The sequence below is a fragment of the Homo sapiens genome, chromosome 21 (genome assembly GCF_000001405.40).
Source record: "Homo sapiens chromosome 21, GRCh38.p14 Primary Assembly".
Lineage (NCBI taxonomy): Eukaryota > Metazoa > Chordata > Mammalia > Primates > Hominidae > Homo > Homo sapiens.
This window is the reverse complement of record NC_000021.9, coordinates 15,103,285-15,126,308: the sequence shown is the minus strand read 5'-3', so window position 1 is coordinate 15,126,308 and position 23,024 is coordinate 15,103,285. Positions and strand designations below refer to the sequence as shown.

Below are 23,024 nucleotides of genomic sequence, written 5' to 3'. Positions count from 1 at the left end.
CTCTCCCCTTACCTCTGTGGCAGCTGGCTCCATTATCCAGGTCTCAGCACTTCTAGATTAACTGTTTTCTTTACCTGGAGCCCCAAAGAAAACCTAAAGTAAGAAGTTAGGGGCTGCAAAGATGACAAGAAATTCCTGAGGGTAGGATGGTCATGCAAGTTTCTTACTTTATTTTTTATGTTTCTTGAGGAAGGAAAACAAAATTGTGGGTGGTGGTTGTTATTATTGTTTGAGACAGAGTCTCTCTCTATCACCCAGGCGAGAGTGCAGTGGTACGATCTCAGCTCGCTACAACTTCCGCCTCCTAGGTTCAAGCAATTCTCCTGCCTCAGCCTCCCGAGTAGCTGGGACTACAGCCATGAGATACCACGCCCTGTTAATATTCACATGTTTAGTAGAGATGGAGTTCACCATGTTGCCCAGGCTGGTCTCGAACTCCAGACCTCGGGTGATCCGCCCACCTCTGCCTCCCAAAGTGCTGGGATTACAGGCGTGAGCCACTGTGCCCAGCCACTCAAATGGTTTTGAAGAATAGCAAAAAATAATTGTAAAGAACTTTTCAACTATAATCTAATTTGTAAACGCTACCAGGGCACTAAAAGAATATCAGGATTGGAGTGATTATTTCCTAATTGTTTAGAGCCTAATGGGTTTGAATTATCAGTGAAAACATGCTCAATAATGTTATTGCACATATTGTCCTTATATGTTAATTGCCTGTATTTTGAAATTATTATATCACTATGTCATTTCAACAAATATTGCTGAGCCCTTCCTTTATGTCCAAAACAATGTAAAGCACCGAATGAAATCCAAGATAAAATAAAACATGATTTCTACTTTTGATGAGCTCAAACTCTGATACCAAAGAGAAGATGTGACATGATATATGCCTCTTATAAATTCTATAAGAAACATAGTTCTAGTAGTACTACAGGAATTAAAAAAAAAAAAGAAAGATTACTTTTCATTAGCATAATTATGGAAAGCTCTTCAGAGAAGATAGCATTTAATACTAAAGCATAAAATAATATTTTGACCACTAATTATTTTGTGTGTATGTCTTATCTTCTCAACTACACCATAATCTTCTTGTGGTTGGAGACTGATATAATACTTGTGTTTCTATTCCCTATCTTTTATTCTCTTAGCAAGGATTAGCTGCCTGGGAGGCCCTTCATACATAATTGTTTTTTCAATACTTGCTAAAGACAAGTATCTTACTTAGTAAGACAAAAATCAGAACAAATGCTGAAAACCCCAGCTGCATGCTTTAGCTGACCAGATTCCAACAAGGAAATTCTCTATAGTTTCCATGAGGTGGAAGATACTCCAATGTCTTTCTTCTGTGTTGAAGAACTGGGAAAACTGGATTCCAATTCTCACTGTTCATTGCAGAAGAGTGGGGTGGCTCAGCCTTCAATGATCTCACCTAAAAACGAGCGTGATAGCAATTTGAAGATTTACTAAGTATCACTTTATGTCACAAAAGAGTTGTAAAGTTATTGGGAAAGACATTATACAAATGCAAGATGCCGTTATTACCAGCACCACTTTTGTGTGATGTTAGGTTCATTCATGACAAGACTGCAGAGATTTTTTTAGAAGCATGTCATCACTTTAATTTTTTATTTCACTTTTATGTTTCATCTGGCTCATCTTTTTGAAGTCATTTTCCTTGTTTAAATAGTTTCTATTGTACCTTTTCTCTCAAACTGGTTTTATTTTGACGGATTTAGCTTCCCTGGAGAAAGCTGCATATGGAAAAACCTATGAACCATTGAGCTGCTAATAATAATTATCCTCTGCCCTTTTAGAGCCTCTTTTATCTGAGGATATCAAAGTACTTCTCAAACCGGTATCTATAATTATCTCCATTATACAAAAGAATAACTGCAAGTGAGGCTGAGTGACTTACAGGAGGTTGACAAAGGCAAGAAGAAGAACCCCAAATTCCCTTCCCCCTCCTTCTTCCCTGTCTCCTGAACTTCTGGACTTTTAGGAAGAGTGAGATCTGGCTTAGACTCTGAGGTAAGGGAGAAAGGGAGAGAAAGTCTTCATAAGATGTAGCTCTAGTGGAGGCTTACCCTCTGTTACCGTCTTACCTCTGTTTACCCAGCTTACCCTCCGTTCATGCATCTGAGGATGCATGAACACAAATGGCAAAACAATGGTAAGTAACAAACGAGTGGAGGGAGAGGCCACTTTGGGGTGGTTTGGCTAAGAAAGGCTTTGTCAAATTGAATTTCCATCAAGCTGCGCCAGTGAGTGGGAAGTTCACCACGCTACCTTGCCTTTGCAGTTTTCTTTCTTATCTAGAAAAATAGAGCTTATATGTGGTTAAAAAAAAAAAAAAGTCCATTTTTTCCTCAGCAAGTCCATTTGGGGGACAGCAGGATGAATTTATGGGTTCTCCTTAAGGGTGTAACTGAAGCCCAGTGTTTGCTGAGATTCAAAGGGCTTTCGTTATTTGTCATTCATTCCTTGAAACATTACCAATGTTTTCTTTATAACTTTAAGGTCTTTGTTTCTGGGTTCTATTTGCAGATAACATGTTTCAAAGTGGCAAATTTCCCCTAAGAATTGGAAAAATGGATAATACGGACTGGGGTTGGAGAGCCCGGGATTCTGATTAAACATGGAATCTGAGAACTGGCAGAAAGCCTGGAACTGATGGAAGAGAGGGCTCTAGGGCCTCCATACTAAATGGTGAACTAGGAACTATAAAAGAGATAATGTGGTGAAGAGCTTCAGCCATCAAGTTATTCTAAAAATGAAGTAGGGCATTTTATATGTGGAGAGAAGGGCACTGATTATTATCTGACTATTGCTAATATGTCCCATAGAACTTATTTGGAATAATTTTTTACTATTAATTTGAACAACAGCAGTGAGACTCTTTATATGTATAATAAAGCTAATTTTACATTTAATAGAGATGATTTTATTTTTTAATGTTAGTAAAATCAGAATCTTATTAAATTGTAAAAGTGAATAAAACTTTTATAACTTTTGGATTTTCTTTGTGGGTTCTATTTGCTGTTTAAAATGCTGTTGCTTCAATCCCTTTAGATTAGGTTCAATTTTATGGTGCTCACTTCTTTTCTTTTAGACATATCTCAATTGTTTGAAAAAATGTAGCATTTTTATGGCAAGCTGTTTAATACATCCATTTTCACATTAGCTCTCATGGTTTTAACCAAATGCTAGTGGTTTGTTATTTTTCTTATCAACAAGGAATTGAGGATGCTTGATTTAAGATATATAATAGCTATCATTTTATGAAGCGTTTACTGTATGCCTGGTCCTGGGTTATGCTCCACGTGCTATCATTTAATCCTTAAAACAGCCCTGAGGCACTACTATTATTTCTATTTTATATTATAGATGAGAAAACAGAGCCTTTGAAATTTAAGTTATTTGACTGATGTCCCACAGCTAGTAAATGGCACAGCTATCATTAAAACCCAAGTCTTACTGCCTCCAAAGCCACTCTCTTATAGACTGCAACTTTAACCTGTTTCATAATTGATTCTTAAGTTTCTAGTTCTATGACCTTCACTGTGCCTAGCTAAGCCATCACAGACCATGTGCTATTACTATCCCTCAAACATCTCAAACATCAGCCAGCCTGTGGGCATATATATTTAAGCAAGTTGGAAACAGCCAAGTTGGGTACCCCTTAACAGGCATGTTCCTCATGCCTTATTTGAGGTTGATAAATCACCAATATCTTTATCAACTTAAATGATTGCAATGTCCTCTCCAAAAGAGATGACCTTACTAAGTGTCATTTCTTGGTAAATAAAGCTCTGCTGCTGTTGACTTTTGATTCATCATCACACTGATATTTAGTGTCAGTGAGGAGTATGCTGGACGGGGCCGCAGTCTTGAGCTCTTACAAAAGGAAACAGGTGGCTGGTCACTTTGGACATATTCCCTCTGGCAGAGGTAGGGAAACTGCAACTTGTACTTAGCATTTTAATTGAGGTTGGCGGTCGGCAGAACTATTACACTTTTCTCTTTAAAACTCTTTTCAAATGAGTAGAAACCAAAATAGAAAATATTATAACTTTTTCCTGTGTCATGTACATTTAACTTCTTCTGATGAGGCTTCCCTTTTTTTACTCAAAAATAGCATTCCCATGCTCTTGAGCTAATAGTCATCAAAACTAATGCACACAGGTGTTTAGCAGATCAGGGAGAGTAGATGTTTTTGTTAACTTTTTAAACAACTTCCCCCCACAATCACAAAGCTCTCCAAATAGAATCTGCTGACTTCAATGGCAGGGTCAGTGTTACAGTGACTCATTGCCAGATAGAACAAACAAGCTCAACAAAGCCTGCTTCAAGATGTAAATGCTGTTTCCTTGCTGCTGGGAAAAGCTCTGTTTTTCACAAAATAGAGCTAAAAAGTCTGTATTTGGATCCTGCTGAGTCTCAGATATCCCTGGGTCTCAAGAAATCCCTACACCCTCTAACAACTGTTTCCCCACCATTCCTCTCCCAACTCCTAGAGTGCACCAGATGCATTCAGTTCCTCAGTGAAAACGCTCCTGAACCTGATCCAGTCCTGCTCTAACCCACGCCACTTCCCAGAAGCCAGCCTTGCCAAGGTCTCCAGTAACATACTCACTGCCAAAACGCAATGGCACTTCTCCATCTTGATGCTCCTTGACCTATGTACAGAATTTGACACGGCTGATAACCAATTATACAACTCTCTCTTCTTGGCTTCTGAGCCTCTTTCCTCATTTAGTCTCTGCCTCTCATCTCATGTGCTTTCGAGGCCCTTCCACCCCTCATTCCATTGGGCTTCCGCTTTCCATGGGGCTACCCCCATTGCCTTGCCACTTAGCTGTTTACTGCATGGCTGCCTCACTGACTGCAGAGGCCATGCTTCACTCATGTTAGAACCCCATTGCCTAGAGAGTGTTTGCAAAATAGCATGGACTCAAAAAAAAAGTTGAATGAATGCACATATCCCATAGGTCAATTTCTCTATTCACCTCAGACCTGCACTTGCATCTGGCTGTGAGACAAGTTGCATGACCAACTCCTATTACACAGAAATTTTTCCTCTGTCTTTAACTTTTACCACCTCCAAATTCTACATGTCGGCAAAGAACACATAAATAATGAAGCTCCCAAATAAAACTCCTCATGACGCTTGGTTGTTTTTCAATTTCTATTTACAGTTCCCAATTAAATCTGTTTTTTTCACTCATGACATTTTTTGAATCTGACTTGCCTTCCTTTCAACACTTCGATGGATTTTTGCAATATTTGTGCAGAATAATTTTTTAAAGTACTCTGTGTTCAACTGGTATTTTGTATGGTAACTATTTGTTCTGATGTATAGCAAAGAGTAGCCAATTAATATTTGTTGAGTGATAGCTGTACAAAAGAATTTGTGTATTATTGCTTAATTTGATCATTAAGGTGGTCCAACAAGTGAATTTGTTGTTTCATTGTCTGTTTATTTTTTGTCATTTTCATGACCAAATCATACTAACTTGGAGGATATAATTGGAAGTAAGGCAATGTATTATTGCAATGTATTATTTCAATGTAACATTACAATTTGACTTGTTAAACTGTGAATTTTGTCTTATGATGGTTTATGTGTAATCCTCATTCCCTGTTTGGATATGAATCTCCCTAGAATCCCAAGTTACAGCATTTATTTCCTGTAAGTGTTCAGTTCTTCTGCCAAAGTTATCTTTTTCACCTGTCATTTTGTGTATGCCAGATTTTTTTGAGGCCATATAATTTTTTTAATTTGCCCTATAATTCATATGTTAGATTCTCTCACTCAATTGCAAAGTATTCCATTATAATATTTTTAATGCCATACTATAACCATTTTCTCCCTTCTTCTTGAATACCCTCTGAATGAATCACAGTCATGTCTGCTGATGTACAACAATTCCATTTATGCTTACTCCCCTCTTCCTATGGCTATTTCACTTTACATCTTCTCCCATTGGATGGATGGATAGATAGATAGATGATAGATAGATAGATAGATAGATAGATAGACAGATAGATAGATAGATTCACTTGTCATATATATTTAAGAATTTTTCAATATATTATGTTAGCATCGAGAACTTACTTCATAATAAGAGTTAAGGTATTTTCTTTCTATCCTCTCATTATAAGTATATATCTTCCACATTTGTAATGGACCAAAAGTACTTATATTTGAACATTATTTTATTTGTGGTTTACAACATTTTCATGCATTTGTCTGTATCATTGTCATTAGCCCCTTATTTTAAGCTCCTAAAAAGAATTAATAATTTGTTAAACATATCCTAAACATTGTCTAGCACTGTACTATGGGGATATAGGCAATTAAAACATTATTTCTGAGCCTACTAACAAATTGTCTAAAACTATGTATATATCTAAAACTATGTAAGTATCTGAAACTATAAAAATCCATTCTTCCATGTTTCACTGGCATATTTATTCAACCTTGCTAGAGGGAGTAACATATAAAAATGGACCCCTTTCATTATTCAACGGATCTTGTTAGATCAATAGTATTTCCCACTTAGTAAAATGTGATGTCTCATGATTTTTCATAGCAATCTGTATAATTGGAAGAGATTCACTTGATTAACATAGAAGAGTGTAAGTCATGTGAGACATCATAATGAGATACCCGAGAAATCTCTGTTGATATTTCTAACCCATCTGAGTTTCCAAAATACATAATTTTAGGAAACGAAAGAGAACACTTTAAAAAAAAATCCTCCTGATGCTTATTGTTTCTTCTAGTTGATTATTTCAGTTATAAACCACATACATTCCAAATTTCTTTCTGCTTGCTACAGCCACACTCTTTTGCCCAACATTTTAAATCTTTGATAAAATATAAATGAGCAACAGCTTCCTGCAAACCACAAATTCTCCTTCTTGTTTTGCTTTGTCTAAATGTTCTTTTTGAATGCCCAAAGGACTTTCTCTTCCTGCTTGGCACAGTCCTAAATTAGTTTCAATCACATTATTCTTACATTCAGTGTATGTACCTGCATTATGATTCCGAGGGTAATCGTGCCCTTTAACCGTAGTGTGCTTATCATCAATGCTTCAAGAGACTACAGTCTGGCCTTGATCTTGCTCAGTTCACCAAGGTTGTTTGGGGGTAGATCTATTCACTGGCACAGTATTGGTTTCATGCCTATGACAACTCAGAAATCTATTTCTCAACCGAGCCAGTGATTTCTAACAGTGTTTTGTTTTGTTTTAATCATATTTGCAAGTTGGTGCTGATACAAAGGTGTGCATCCATTTTTTTTTTTTTTTTTTTTTGAGACGGAGTCTCGCTCTGTTGCCCAGGCTGGAGTGCAGTGGTGCAATCTCGGCTAACTTCAACCTCCGCCTCCTGAGTTCAAGTGATTCTCCTGCCTCAGCCTCCTGAGTAGCTGGGATTACAGGTGCGCACCACCATGCCCAGCTGATTTTTGTATTTTTAGTAGAGACAGGATTTCACCATGTTGCTCAGGCTGGTCTCAAACTCCTGACCCCATGATCCACCCACGTCGGCCTCCCAAGCATTCATTTTTTTTTTAGACAGGGTCTTGCTCTTTCACCCAGGCTGGAGTGCAGTGGCGCAATCATGGCTCGCTCCAGGCTTTACTTCCCAGGCTCAAGTAATCCTCCCATCTTAGCCTCCCGAGTAACTGGGGCTATAGGCACACGCCACCATGCTGGCTAATTTTCATATTTTTTGTAGAGATGGGGTTAAACTCCTGGGCTCAATGGATTTGCCCACCTTGGCCTCCCAAAGTGCTGGAATTATAGGCATGAGCCACTGTGCCTAGCCATTTTTTGTTAAACTATTCCGTTTAAAGCAAGCAATTCTTTCTACCAGCTCGTCTATTGTGACCTAAAAATTCAACCCATGAGCATCAACTAAAAATATTTTTCTGCCTTTATTTTTAAGGTTGTATGTCTTATTTTCAATGTCTCATTAAAATATTACAGTGTTTTGTTGAAATAAATGAGTAAATTTTCACCATGCTTATGGCTTGTTCCTGCTTTCATCTTCTAGCTAGGAGAAGATACCCTAGTGCTAGGTTGATTGATCTGCAAAAAGTCTGATTATAAACCTTTGTTTTGTACAACATCCCCACTGTCTACAGGGAGTAGTGCAGAGACACTCAACTGTTCCTGAGCTATTATAGCATTACTATACTTCTTTTGTGAACAAACAGATCTCCTTTAAATAATTATTTGTGATCCACAAGTTTGCCTTTATAGCTGGAGCCCCAACTACTTTCTATGCAGTTTGTTAGTTTTTGTTTTTTGTTTGTATATTATTATTATTATTATTTTAGAGACAGGATCTCAGTCTGTTGCCCAGGCTGGAGCACAATAGTGCAATCATGGCTCATTGTAGCCTCAACCTCCCAGGATTAAGCGATCTTCCCGCCTCAGCCTCCCAAATACCTAGGACCACAGGTGCGTAACACCAAACCTGGCTAATTTTTAAATTAGACCCTGTGTAGAGACAGGGTCTCTCTATGTTGTCCAGGATGGTCTCAAAGTCTAGGCCTCAAGTGGTCCTCCTGCCTCAGCCTCCCAAAGTGCTGGGATTACAGGTGTGAGCCACTGTGCCCAGCCTATTTTCCGTGTTTATTTCAGGGCACTAGCCTAGTATCTATCCTCTCAGCTGAAAGTCACTGCCACAAACACAGCTGCCTTAACACCAAAGATAGCTAATATTCTCCTATGTTCTTTGAAGTTTCTGGTTCACAGCGTCTTGCCTTAAGTCTATGTAAATCTGAAACAACTAATTACAAAGTAAAAATAAAAAAAGTATCAAAGCCTTAATTTCACATCATGTCTGGGAAAAATATGTTTTCATGAATTCTACTTTTTATAGGCTAAATTCACCCAAGACAGTTTTCATGTGAAGACAGCACCACAGAAGTAGAGAGGTTTTAATTCAGAACGTGTAAGTGACTAAGTGCAATCACCTAAAACAGTGGAGGCAAGGGTTTTCTTGACACCCATCACAGGTCTCACTGCCTTATCTAGAAGCTTACATCTCAAAACACTTCAGTTCTATATCAAGTTTTGCTACTTTCTAATGAGCTGGATGACAGAAGCCAAGTCAGCTAACCTCTTTTGTCTCAGTTCTCTTTCAGTAAAATTGGGGGATTAGACCAGAGCAGCAACCGTCAGTTCCATCTGGCATGACTCAGGGCAGAGTATGGCATTCCAATTCTGGCACAAAGTGCATCGCCAGACCCCTAGGTTATATCTTTTATCATGAGCTGCAACAGCCAGAGAACGTATGTGGCACAAACGTGTCAACCTTCAGGTGTGTTACAAGATATAAAGAGGTTGAGAAGCTCTGAAGAAGATGACCTCCAAGATAGCATATAATTCTTCCACAGAAAGAATAAAACATTTGAATAAAAAATTGAATGTTTTTTTTCAAGAGACTGAGATTCTAGAAACTAAATCTGGGGTTATGTCACATATCTTGGTCTGTAAGCCTGTTTACACTGCTATAGCAAAATACAATACACTGGACAGCTTACAAACAACAGAAATTCATTGATCACAATTCAGGAGACTGGAGAGTCCAAGCTCAAGACACCAGCAGATTCCGTGTCTGGTGAAACAACCATCTTTTTGCTGTAACCACACATGGCAAAAGTGGTGAGGAGTCTTTTTTTTTTTTTTAGACAGAGTTTCGCTCTTGTTGCCCAGGCTGGAGTGCAGTGTCACGATCTCGGCTTACCGCAATCTTCACCTCCCAGCTTCAAACGATTCTCCTGCCTCAGCCTCCCAAGTAGCTGAGATTACAGGCATGTGCCACCATGCCCAGCTAATTTTGTATTTTTAGTAGAGACAGAGTTTTACCATGTTGGTCAGGCTGGTCTCGAACTCCCGACCTCAGGTGATCCGCCCGTCTTGGCCTCTCAAAGTGCTAGGATTACAGGCATGAGCCACTGTGCCCGGCCAAAAAGTATATTTTTACAGAACAAACTAAGGAGTCTGGGTTTTATCTGATAGGAATCATTGCCATTGTTTATTTTTATAGTATTTATTTTTAAGTTCATGAATGTTCTCTTCTTTATGACTACATCTGCTTTCTATAGACAGAGGAGCAAATCAAATGGAGAGCCACTTTGTGCCTTGATGGGCTTTATTGCACACATTGCATGGGCTTTGTTGTACAAGAGACAGGAGAGAGGTTTAGCTGAATTACTCTGAAATATAGGAGAAGAATTGGGAGTTCTTATTTAGGAAGGAGATCAGAAACAGAGAAATGAAACACAGGGAAGACCCAACAAGATAAAGAGAAGCAAGAAGTAGGTTCATAAACAAGAATAGTGAATGTCCACGGTGTAAGGGAAAAGCAAGGCTATTTTAAGAGTAATTATCTCTCTGCTCCTACAGGTATATTTAAAAGCCTGGGGGAAGGTTTTGGTCATGAGCAAGCCATGGAATTGAGGGAGAGGAAGAGTTTTTGCCAATTTCTCCAAGTCAAGTGTGTGAAAGGAGACACCTAATCTCTGCTTATAGTAAGTTTTCTAAATCAGACATTGGCATGACCAAATTACTTTTCGACAGAGAACTTAGCAGCATGACATTTGACACTGGGGGGTGATGAGGCCATCATCACTTTGAACCTATAGAAAGTATTGTTTGAAGCGAAGATGGGTGTCAGGAAGTGCACCTACGTATTTGGGTTACTAGATCTGGAAAATGATGCTTGCAATAGACAATAGAGAAGGGCAAGGAGGGAGCAGGAGGGGTGAGGAGCTGGTTTAGGAGTATGCTGACTTTGAAGTCATTGAGCTGGAGCCCGCTAGGAGATTGTGTATATGGCTAAAGATGGTTTGTCATCAACAGTATGAGATTTAGTAAGACAAAAACATAGACAGTACACATATTGCCTTTTATTGAGTTATGTGGTTCTCTTCCACTCTCCTTCCACCTTTCCTCCCTCCCTTTCTTCCTGCTTCCCCGCTTCCTTCCTCCCTCCCTTCCTCCCTTGATCTTTTTCCTACTTCCCTTTCTATCCCTTCTTTTTTGGCAATCAGTTATTAAAGAAAGTAAAAATGTTCCACTGTTTGCAACTTTTTCTAAAATATATATTTTATTATTTCGTACACACACACACACACACACATAAATATATATATATATTTGAGATGGAGTCTCACTCACTCTGTCGCCCAGGCTAGAGTGTAGTGGCATCATCTCGGCTCACTGCAACTTCTACCTCCTGGGTTCCAGTGATTCTCCCACCTCAGCCTCCCAAGTAGCTAGGATTACAGGTGTGCACCACCATGCCCAGCTAATTTTTGTGTTTTTAATAGAGACAGGGTTTCACCTTGTTGGCCAGGCTGGTTTTGAACTCCTGACATCAAGTGCCACCAATCTTGGCCACCCAAAGAGTAAAATATATTTTTAGAAAAATATTTTACACCTTAATGTGAGACTTGATGAAAACAATTTGCTCTCATGTATATTAAATGAGTTGTTACAGTTTTGATATGGTGATATCTGTCTCAGTTTATAATTTTTATTGTTAATATTAAAAGAAAATTACTTCTGTCATAAATATTTTATAAACATCATATTTCTCATATTCTTTCTGTCTTAAGGAGAAATTATTCTTAAAGCTATTCCTCTAACCTTATCCACTGATGTTATTTTTTTCCCTAAAGCTGTCTTCTTTTTTTTCTATTCTATTTGCTCTCCCCATGTGAATTAGGGCTTTCCCAGGTCCTCTTACTTTGAACTACACAAATGTAAATTGCCGATTGGATGATGTCACTCTGCATTTATGAAGTTTTAATTACTTTTTGGCTCTGTTATAGTCATTTTAAGGTTATGTAAATGCTCCATTAGGATCATTTAAAATTTAATTTATTAAGCCAGTTATTTTCTATACTTAGAGAAACATGGAAGAGTTTATGAGAACCATTGTCAAAAGGAGTTGAAACATACAACATAATTATTGCTCCTTTTTTAAGTTATACAAGAAAAATCTTTTATTAACGTATTTTAATGAAAACTTTTATTGAAAACATTTGAATTTGCAAAAGCAATTAGAAATCATTTTAAATTATCTTTCAGAAATGAGATTATTTCAAAGACATGTTTTTTTTTACATATGATATATACCTATTGGAAAGATAATAAAATTATGACAATTACTAGTAACCAAACTATAATGCTTTTATTAAAAACATAGTAATGTTTAGTGAAAAGAGCTAAAATGCAGAATTTGGTGGCAGACAACAACGATTAAATGTTGTTAAATAAAAATAAGGCTCACTATCATAGTATTAATGATTGATTATGGATGTTAATGTTACTTCCACAGAAAGTTTGACTTTTAAACATTACATGTCAATACTTTTTTCAAAAATTTTATTTCAAAGTACGCATTCCAAACATTTTTAATACTAACAATTCATATTGATTTTTTAAAACCTGAGAAGACATAGGGTTTATTACAATATTTTTTCTCTCTTCAAATGTCTAACTAAAATGTTTTTTAATTATGTAATTGAATCAAAAATAGGAAAATGGATTATTGAGATAATTTATTGTAATGTAGATTTTGAGATGAATTTATTCTGAAAAAAATAGAAAAATGGTAGTCACTGCTTAGAAGTTACGTTTAACCTTAGTTAAAGTTACCATTACCTTAGAAGTTAATATCTTTAGAATAGCTAAATTTTGAATGTCATTTATTTGCATTATAGATTTCATCTGAAGAACTCAAGGGTTTTTTTTAATATACATAACATACACGATATAGAAATACTTATTGAGACAACAGATACTCACAGAATACCCAGAGATAAAATAATGGAAGTGGTTATTCCCATTAAAAAAGGGTCTTCAAGAAATTTTCCCAAAGTCTCTGTAGTACAGATGAAGCTAGTAGTTGAACTAAAAAAAAGAACATATGCAAGTAGTCCAGTAGAGTGAGCCATTTCTAAGACCACACTATTTTCAAAAGTTTTAAATGATATCTAAAATTCATTTTGGATATTCTGGTAGGGAGGTCTCACCTGTTGCTCAGTGGTGAACAAATTCTCCAGAATGCAATGTAGTGTCTTACAACGATTACCTCTTCCATAAACTGCTCCGGAAAACGTCACTGCCATTGGAGCTCACCCTTCCTTCTCACTTATATATTTATATGTGTCACTCAGCATCCTTCCTTCTGCTTGGAAAGCTGTCAAGAATTTTTATCTTAGGAGTCAGTTGCCAGTTCTGTTTAATGAACAAGTCAGCAGGATTCTTGAGAATCATGAGAGTACGGTTGTCAGTGCCCTTCTTCTCAGATGAAGAGTGCTGTTACCTCAAAAGCTAGCAATTGGGAAATAGAAGTGATACAGCCTCAGGGCCCAGCTGGCAGCCTATATACCTGGGTACCCAGACATTCTGTTTTAACTATTTATTTAAGTCTATTCACATTTATATAGGTTTATTGATACCACAGAAATCACTGAAAACATTTCTCTTTTGACTTTTATATTCTCTACTCCAGAATGTGAATACTGGAGGTATTGAAATGTTTTGGTTAGCCTCCCAAGTGAAGAACATAAATTCACAGTGCCTTCAAACATCTTCTGTTGTTCCATTCTTCCCTCTCTCCCTCCCTCAGGATATTAGCATATTTGGCAAGATGGGGTTCAATTCCACTTAAAATGATGGGATTAAACAGTCAGCCCATCTAATGAGTGGAACCTATATGCTCTTAGAAGCATAGTTAAATTTAATCAGATATTAAGCCATAAAATTAATAGCTCTACATTTGGAACTAAAACAGATTTTTGAGTTTTATTTGACATTTTAAGAGTGACTTAAAATAAATATATAGTAGAACACCAGGCCCATTAAACCAAAATATTTTGTAGTCATATATTACACTTTATGGTTTTACAGTATTACAAACTGCCAAGCTATATTTCAATTTTAGAGTATTTGCATATTATATGTAAAATGATAGGAAACAAAGAAAAGAAAGCATTTGGAATATAGGAAGAAGTGATTATGCCACGAATAAAATGTACTGCTTATGAATTAAAGAAAATATATGAAGCATAGAGTTGATACTGTGGTGAAGCTTTTTGGAGGTCAATCATCTCTTAAATTATAGTAAGAAATTCTGGATTTTTCTATATCGACTTCCTAACAAATGGAATCTGTATATATTCAGATGGGCTATACCTCCAATTCTTTCTATGTTATATAGAAATACCTATATAGTAGGTATACCTATATAGAAATGTAGGTAGAAATATAGGTATACTATACAGAAATACCTATATAGTAGGTATTCATATCACTGCTTTGCTTCCCAACTGTCAACGAAAACTTATTCATACCTTCACGGTTTTCTAGAGCAATGTAGACTCTACCTTACATTTTTTAATGGTCTCTGGAGAAACGTTTTTGTTTTGTATTGTATTTCATCATAGCAGTGTGTAGAATTATCATCTGAGGCTCCATGATTCTCTCAGACATAGACTGAGAAAACAGTGTAAGAAAGATGTAAAAGGAGTCCATCTTTTTCTATTCGGATCTAGGTGAACACGCATTGCTTTTCACTCAAGCTCACTCCGTACAAATTGTTCTTCAATTTGTTATTTTCACTTACCATAATATCTTAGACATCTTTCCATTTCAGTACATACAGACCTAATTATTTCTTTTGAATGACTAAATAGTTTTCCATTACATGGCCACACCACAGTTTATGCATCTAGTATCCATTTTAAGTTGCAATTATTTTTCTCTATTATAAAGAATGTTACAAAGAACATCCTTATACATAAATCTGTTCACATTACAAGTATAATTGTGGGATATTTTCAGCAGTAGAATGGCTAAAGAGAGGCTATATGCATTTTAAATTTCGGTATATTATTACCTAATTGCCTTCCAAAAGAGTTGAACCAATTTCCATTCCCACCAACAGTATTTGACAATGCCTGTTTCCTCACATGCTTTGCAACACTGAACGCTCTCAAACTCTTAAAACTTTGCCAGCCTGATAGGATCTCATTTTATCCACAAGCATTTTTGCTCACTAAAACAACCTGGAGGGAGTTCAGCAGAAGACATGTCACCAATTACAAAAGGATATGCAATACAGCAGGAGACAAATTATATGCCATGAAGTCTCACAGTCAAAAAATATATCTTGAAAGGTCCTTAGAGGTCATATGCTTCAAATTTTTAATATATTATTAAAAACTTACATCTTATGAACTCAACAAACACATAAATAGCCATTGGAGGATGACAAGCCACTTATGTTCATTTCACAGTTAAGAAGACAGAGATCCAGAAAGCTAAAAAGACTTTCTAATGTGAGAAAACTGTGTCCAGGAAGTACGTGAGCTATAACAATTACAGATACACCATGATTTTCAAGGCAACATGCAGGAAATGCAGGAATAATGCAGCTTTATATACAATATGATGTTGACCCTAGTACAATAAAACTGGCTAATTTATTACTTTACCAGTGGAAATCTCTTCTAACTAGCACAGTAATAATTGGGTTATATAGCTGATAAAACATTAACTGCTGTTCTTTCTAGTTTTTAGATTTACAGGTATTTGGTATTCAATGTATTTTGTTCTAATTATTAGAAATTAATCATAAGTCTCCATTAGATTTGGAGCCCAGGATGTAAATTTCCAAAACAATCCCCCATTTTCCCACATGCAAACAGTTTATTGCAAAAATACTAACAGATGCAGGAAGGGAGAAGGAACAGAAAAAAGCCAGGATTCGACAGTCTGATTTAAACAGGGTAAGAACTGTTGCGGGTCTTCTGCATTCCCATTTTTTATTACAACATGAGTATTTTCTGATGTTGTTAAATATTCCCTCAATATTTAATTTTAATGCCTGCAAAGAAATTTATTAATTTATTAAATTCCTCTTCAGATCATTTCCATTTTTCTATCTCATAAATAATGCAGCAAAGAATAATCCTGTATGTAACTTTTTGTCTACATCTCTAGTGAATATTTTAGCAGAGATCCCTAGAAGTGGGCTTATTGGTTCCAAGGATATATAAAACTTTTAAGAGGCTGGGTGCGGTGGCTCACACCTGTAAGCCCAGCACTTTGGATGACCAAGGCAGGCAGATCGCTCAAGGTCAGGAGTTCGAGACCAGCCTGGCCAATATGGTAAAACCCCATCTCTACTGAAAATTCAAAAATTAGCCAGGTGTGGTGGCACACACCTGTGGTCCCAGCTACTCAGGAGGCTGAGGCAGGAGAATCATTTGAGCCCAGGAGATGGGGGCTCCAGTGAGCAGAGATTGCGCCACTGCACTCCAGCCTGGGTGACACAGTAACACACCATCTCAAAAAAAAAAAAAAAAAAAAAAAAATCTTTCTTTTAAGAGTCCGAATGGCTTTCTTCAAAGATTAGTCTCAATTAAAATACCTATCAAGACTGTATTGCCATGTTTATTTCACCTGAACCCTCTAAGGATTGAGCATATTTATTACATTGAAGAGTTTTTGGAAGAAAATATATGGGTAATGATATTATGTGTTTTTCCACCCCACCACCACCCCCCACTTTTCAAGCTTTATATTTTGTTATTTTACTTTTACATTTAAGTGGAAGAAATTTGCTTGGACATCTATGATTAAGGAATGCAATAATTGCACAGCCAATAAGTATTAAGGGTACTGTACTACCTAGGGTACCCTTAGCTGTACTACCCTAGCTCTATGACAGGAAATCAGTCAAGAAATGTATCAGCGTGAGGGCAAGTTTCAAAGAAGAATAAGCTCTAGATTATACCTTGAAGGATTTATAGGATTCTGATTGGCAAAAAGGAACTGAGACAGCAAACTAGGAACAGGAAAACATAGGCAGAGGCCCAGAGGTTCAAATGAGTATAATATCCTGTAGGAAAAACTGTATTGATAAGCTGGGTTAAATCGGATAGGGCTGATTTTATTCTAAAATCGCCTTGGTGGTTTCCCCCTTTCACTTCACGTAACGTGGAACTCACACCTTGCATTGGGTGGCAGACCTGTGACTTGGATCAGAATTCTCACAGCCCGTTATGCTATATGTCTGCTGATTTAAAGAAAACCCAGTACACTCATGCTGTTTTTCTTGATTTGTTTTTCTACGTTCTTCATCAACACACCAGTAGGCAGAATCTTCCTTAGATTGCAGAATCTGAGCTGACAGTTTTCAATTTGGTGCTTCCAATAACATTCTTATGCTAAATATAAGTCTTTTCTGAGTGAACAGAGGGAAGAAAGTTTTTACAAGCCTGTTTTTAGAATTATGTTTTAATTAGCTGTCTCAAGTATAGAGTACCCCCAATCCATCTGCAAACTAGTATTCAAATCTGACCACCTCATTATGTGCAAACAGTTAGATTAAAAAATGGAAAATAAAAGGCAGCCATCTGGATACTGATATAACACCAAAAGTCAGAGTCCTTAAAACACTCCGTGTTTACATTCAGTTTCCTCTTATTTATTCATTCATTTTTGTACTTTTATAGTGTACACCCAGAAAGGATTTGTGGCTTTGCATAATTTGGCCCCCAGCAAGCCTCATTTTGTGTGTCTTTTTTCCCATTCCTTAAAATGCATTAGGGTACAAAAGTGTTAATGTCAGCTTTAACTGTAATAGCCCTAAACCAAAAGTAGCCCAAGTGTCCAGAAATGAGTTAAACACGAAGGCACCCATGCAATGGAATACCACTCAGCAATAAAAAAGGAACAAACTATTGATAATACACAACAACTTGGATGGGTCTCAAGGACATTATGCTTAGTGAAAAAAGCCAGTCTCAAAAGGTGGCATACTGTGTGATTCCATTGATATAACATTCTCCAAATGACAAGAATCCATCTCTATGATAGAGAACAGATTCGTGGTTACTGGGGGATAGGGACAAGAATGAGGGGTTGGTGCTTCTCCAAAAAAAAAAAAAGCACAAGGGAGATCTTTTGTAGTGATGAAACAGTTCTGTACCCTGATTGTAGTGGTGGTTATATGAACCTCTACAAGAGGTCAAACTGTATAGAACTATAAAAACACACGCACATGCACACACACACACACACACACACACACACACACAAGCACATTGCATGTAAAAGCTGATCAAAACTGTGTAAGACTGTGGTCTAGTTACTAGTATTGTATCAATGTCAACTTTCTGGTTTTGATATTATACCATAGTCATAGAAGATGCCACCATTTGGAGAAACTGGTGAAGAGTTTACAGCACTCTATGTGCTATTTTTGTCATTCCCTATAAGTTGATACTTATTTCAAAATTAACTGTTTTTATCTTAATGCATCAGGGTCTTCACCCATGTTTTCCCCTCTGCTCGGACCATCAGTCCCTTGCCTCACCCTTTGACCCTTGCCAGAAAAGTATTCCTTGTCTCCCCAAATTAACTTTGTTTGCCACTGCTGTATGTTCTCAAGGTACTTCACATTTCTTCTTCTGGTCCATCACAATGGCTATTACATAATTCCACTGGTGTAACATAAGATTTAACCTGCCCTCCCCAGACTAAATTTTAAAAGGCACACCTTTGTGTTCACCACTGTGTCATTAGCGCCTGGTGAATTCTCTAAAACACAGTAGGTGCCCAGTCAATTTTTGTTGAAATAAAGACCAAGAATGACAGAGCACATGAGCAAGCATTTCTGTAAGTCATAGGTGGAGAAATTTTAGTTGGAATATGAAGATGAGATCATGGAGAAAGTCAGCACATAGCTAATAAGTAGTTCATCACATTTATACAGATGTCTGGAACCACAGAGTATAAATATTAATGCGCACCATGCAAGACAGTCAGTTCATTTAAAATCAATCAAAGGTGGTTATTTGATTATTTCCATCTTGTCAAGAACATTTTGACTGCTTTATTTGGCACTGGTAAAATGCAGTCTACATCCATCTTCTCTGTTCTCTGGGGTATTTCCCCAATAACACACATTAGAACAAGTTTGATCATGAGGACATTTCATGTAAAGCTACTTGGGAGTCTGGTTTTCAGTGGCTGTTACTGCCACGGAGGCCTAGATAAAGCATCAAAGAAACAAGTGATCATTGATAGTCTAATGGTTTCCTTTTTCTTTTCAACTTCTCTCCTATCTTCTTGTGGAACCTACATCTATCAACTCAAAATATTTTATTCTTTAATACTTTCCTCTGGCTGTTAAATACCTTCACTGTGCCATGCATTCATGTTCTCTCTCCCTTCACACACACACACACACACACACACACACACACACACACACACTTCTCCCTCCTTCCTTTTCTCCCATCTCCAATTCCTCCGTGTTCAAGTAAACCTATAGCAGGAAGAATCTGACTACACTGATTAAAGTAGTGAAAAGCATAATTCCCTAAAACAGGGCAGAGAAGATATTTTTGAATAGAGGTGGTGGTTATCTAATCCATCTCACTGTCCACACTCCCCCATCAGACACCAGAAGAACAGGAAACGTGGGAACATGGCAGCTCATTTCTGCAATTTTTCCGACCCTTCAGCCACAAATCAAATGAGAAGTCTAGGAGACATCTGGACATGCAAAGTTTTGCAATGCTAATGTGCATGTTCTGGAAGCAGGCACACAAAAAGACCAGTATGTGATCTCAGTCTCTTTCACGAAATTAGTTCAAAGATACATAGTGAGGATAAGGCTAGTAGCAGAAACCAAATGCCAAACAGACCTGGGGAAATTCTATAGGAAGCCGAAGTCAAGGAGGGCATCAAAATATTTTTAAAGTAAGTTCTTAAATAGGAAGATTTTATTTTACTTTATTGGTGGTTTAGAGTAATTAGATAACAATGGCCATTACATACTACTGCTTTCTCAGATATCATTATTTTAACATCATCAACTGAGCATTTTGTGATATATATTTGTTTTGTTTATGAGAATTGTACAATATTTTTATTTCCAACTACTTGCATAGTCATTTCAGACAGTAGTAGAACCTGGTAAAGGCTAAAGTTAGAGTTACAACATTGTTGAATCAAAACAAATTTGCTGGCCAGGCGCCGTGGCTCAGGCCTATAATCCCAGCACTTTGGAGGGCCAAGGTGGGTGGATTACTTTAGACCAGGAGTTCAAGACCAGCCTGCGCAAGATGGTGAAACCCCGTCTCTATCAACAAAAAATAATAATAAAAATAAAAATTTGCCAATTAAGATTTTCCAGAAAATTCTTTTTCCTCCTGGAATAAAAAATATCCCTTTATGTTTCATTGTTCCTTGGCATTTTTCTTCTGAATGTGACAAAGATTACATTTGAAAGTATTGCCATGTACTGACCCACTGTGGTAGCAAATTAAGGAGAAAGGAATAGACTATATTCCTCTGTTTTATTCTCTGCTTTCGATTATATGCAAACCTCATCACTCCAATTTGAAGGCACATACTATTCAAGCAAATTAATCTATTTTCAAATATAAACCACCCATCTGTCCCTTTTGCTCTCCTTTAAGTTGTTTTGGAACTTACTATGGAAAACAAAGTTACTAGCTTTAACCTATGTAATAACTACCCAGGAAAAAGTAAGCGTCGGATACAAAAAGAAAACGAAATTTCAACATCTGCTCTACTGCATTCATGGCACTCATTATCAGAGCCAGAAAATTATCACAGCAATAATAAAAATACAGACTCCAACAAATGGATTGTGCTCTAAAATTTTATTTGCCAGTAGGTTTGTTTAGAGTATTAACACTTATAATAGAGATAATGTTCTATGTCATCGTTAGGGCCCTCACGCAGTCTGTGGATGCCTATTTAGTCCACCTCGAACAGAATCACGGGAATCATTTTACATAAATGTGGTTTGGGTTCCGGGATGAAGAGGGAAGAGGAAGAAGAGGGGGTGAAAAAGGAAAAGTGTATTCCCATCTATTAATATATTACAGGCCTGAGCACATTTTAAGCAAGTTCACCTTTGACCTCCTCCCACTGCCCTTGGGGCAGCCTTTGCCTGCACATTGATAACTTTAGTTTTCGGTTTTCAGGCACTTGCACCCTCGCAGTTTCATGAGACCCACATTAACGAAAGCTGGACAGATTTGTCCTCAAGAACCACATGCTCCATGGAAAAATATTACCTACCGATTGATTAAAAGACCCGTTCTTTCAGGTAATGTTTATTCACTATTATATCCCCTGGCATATATTAGGTGGTCAATAGATATTTGTTGAGTGAGTAAATGAGTGAGAGATCGCTGGTAAGTCCATGTGAAAGAGGAATTTCTAAATTAGGGGGAACCTACATTTGCATTGGTTTGGAGTTCTTAGCTTCATTGGAATTCATCCATAATTAATTTTGCTTTCGTTGCATTGTAGGGAGCTCGTATACAAAGCTATTAATATTATATTATCCACATTTTAAAGTGGAAATTTAGTGGCTTTCTCAAATTCTTTTGTCATATTAATAACCGTAATAATAGGTAACAACACATATATCACTTTCTAGGTACCAAGCTCTTTAAGTGCTTTTTATATCTTAATTTATTTAATCATCTCATTAACCCTAAGTGTATGTACAATTACTATTCCCATTTTAGAGATGAGCAAACTGAGGCACAGAAGATTTTTCAGACTTTCCCAGAATTCACACAGCTATGATGTCTAGCAGTCAGACTCAAGCCTGAGCTCCAGGTTTCTCTGCTATCTTTAGGGTGATCCTTTCCCAGTGACCATTATGTCAGACAAACAAGCTGTGTTCCATCTGTCAGAAGCGGCGGTGGTGTAACCACTGTAATTTTGACAATCCCCAAACAATAAGAGAAGTAAATAAATAAATAAACTAACAATAAGAAAAAAGAAAGTGGTAGAGTCGTGTGCAAAAACGATTGCTGTCATGCTTTTTAAATTTCTTAACATTTTTCTAAACACCAGACAGAATTAAAATTTTCTCACCTTTACAATTGATAATTAATATAGGAAAATTTCCTTTGAAGTGATTTTTTTTTTAATATTGCCCACTTATGTGTCATCAAAGTAAGCTGCTTGGAATCATGACTGTAGTTAATTTTTTTCCATACCGGTTATATCTGCATGCTTGGTCTAATATTGAGATAACTGATTAGCTTTGGACTTGACTGTCAAAACCAAATCTAAACTTGCACCTGACATTACTACATATTTTTCAACACGTATTTTTTTTTCTTTTGTTTTAATCCCTGGTCACTTGCAGGCTACATAATGAAATAGAATAATCGTTTAGTGGAATCTTTCTTGAAAATAAAATGATTTGGTGACAAAACCCAGAAACCACAAATGCTATATATTTTTTCTGCAACAAATTCCTTTATGTTATTTACCTCACTACATACCATCTAAGTCAACTTTTCAATAATCTTTTGGTAGCATCCGTAACCCTCTTACTGTCAGTATATCTTTTCCTTTTTTAATTTTGGTGTTCTACTTTCTCTCTGTATGAAAGAAAAATAACTATCCACTCAAGCCCAAACAATTATATTCAACATACTTTTTTTTTTTTTTGCTATTTAAAAAACACTGTCTATTCATTTTGGAACCTGGTCTTACCTGTTGGCTTAATAATTAGCTTCAGTGCTTCCTACCTGATACTTTTTCAAGTCACAGCTCAATTCCACATCACACTTTTTCTATCCTGAGAGATTCATATCAGTTTGCCGATTTTCTTTTTAGAGTTTAATTTTTTATGACATATAATAAATCAACTTGTGGACTTTTAAAAAGAATCCTAAATGCAACAATAAACAAAAACAACGTATTCATAAGCGCAATGATGACCTAGCATAATTTCATAAACCTGAGTTCACAGAGCTTTAAAATAAGAAAGCAAGAAATTGCATAATTTCTCACTGGATTTAGAAACATTGGCCTACCAGTAATCACTCTTGAGTTATCCAAATATTAGTGTGATCTTCAATTTAGGTTGTACAGTGATGTCTCTCATTTCTCTTTTTGCCAGTTTAGTATGAAAA

The 23,024-nt window shown here is 36.8% G+C and overlaps 1 long non-coding RNA gene across 1 annotated transcript in view, besides 2 other annotated features; it reads left to right on the top strand.

Moving 5' to 3' along the window:
* LOC107985483 (uncharacterized) overlaps positions 1–21,190 on the top strand; it is a 33,489-nt gene extending 12,299 nt beyond the window's left edge. Inside the window, exons 2-4 of the long non-coding RNA XR_001755094.2 lie at positions 2,548–3,951; positions 10,429–10,553; positions 21,066–21,190. This is a non-coding gene — a long non-coding RNA (uncharacterized LOC107985483). The remainder of the gene's footprint in view (positions 1–2,547; positions 3,952–10,428; positions 10,554–21,065) is intronic.
* Positions 3,707–4,001: a silencer, noted in NCBI's record as "tiled region #10595; K562 Repressive non-DNase unmatched - State 24:Quies". NCBI's record gives its function as "represses a minimal TATA promoter and a strong SV40 promoter by Sharpr-MPRA in K562 cells {active_cell/tissue: K562}" and the evidence as "EXISTENCE:reporter gene assay evidence [ECO:0000049][PMID:27701403]".
* Positions 4,578–5,094: an enhancer, noted in NCBI's record as "H3K27ac hESC enhancer chr21:16493536-16494052 (GRCh37/hg19 assembly coordinates)". NCBI's record gives its function as "activates a minimal SCP1, AML or CMV promoter by ChIP-STARR-seq in naive H9 embryonic stem cells {active_cell/tissue: H9 hESC(naive)}" and the evidence as "EXISTENCE:reporter gene assay evidence [ECO:0000049][PMID:30033119]".
* Positions 21,191–23,024: the final 1,834 nt, after the last annotated feature.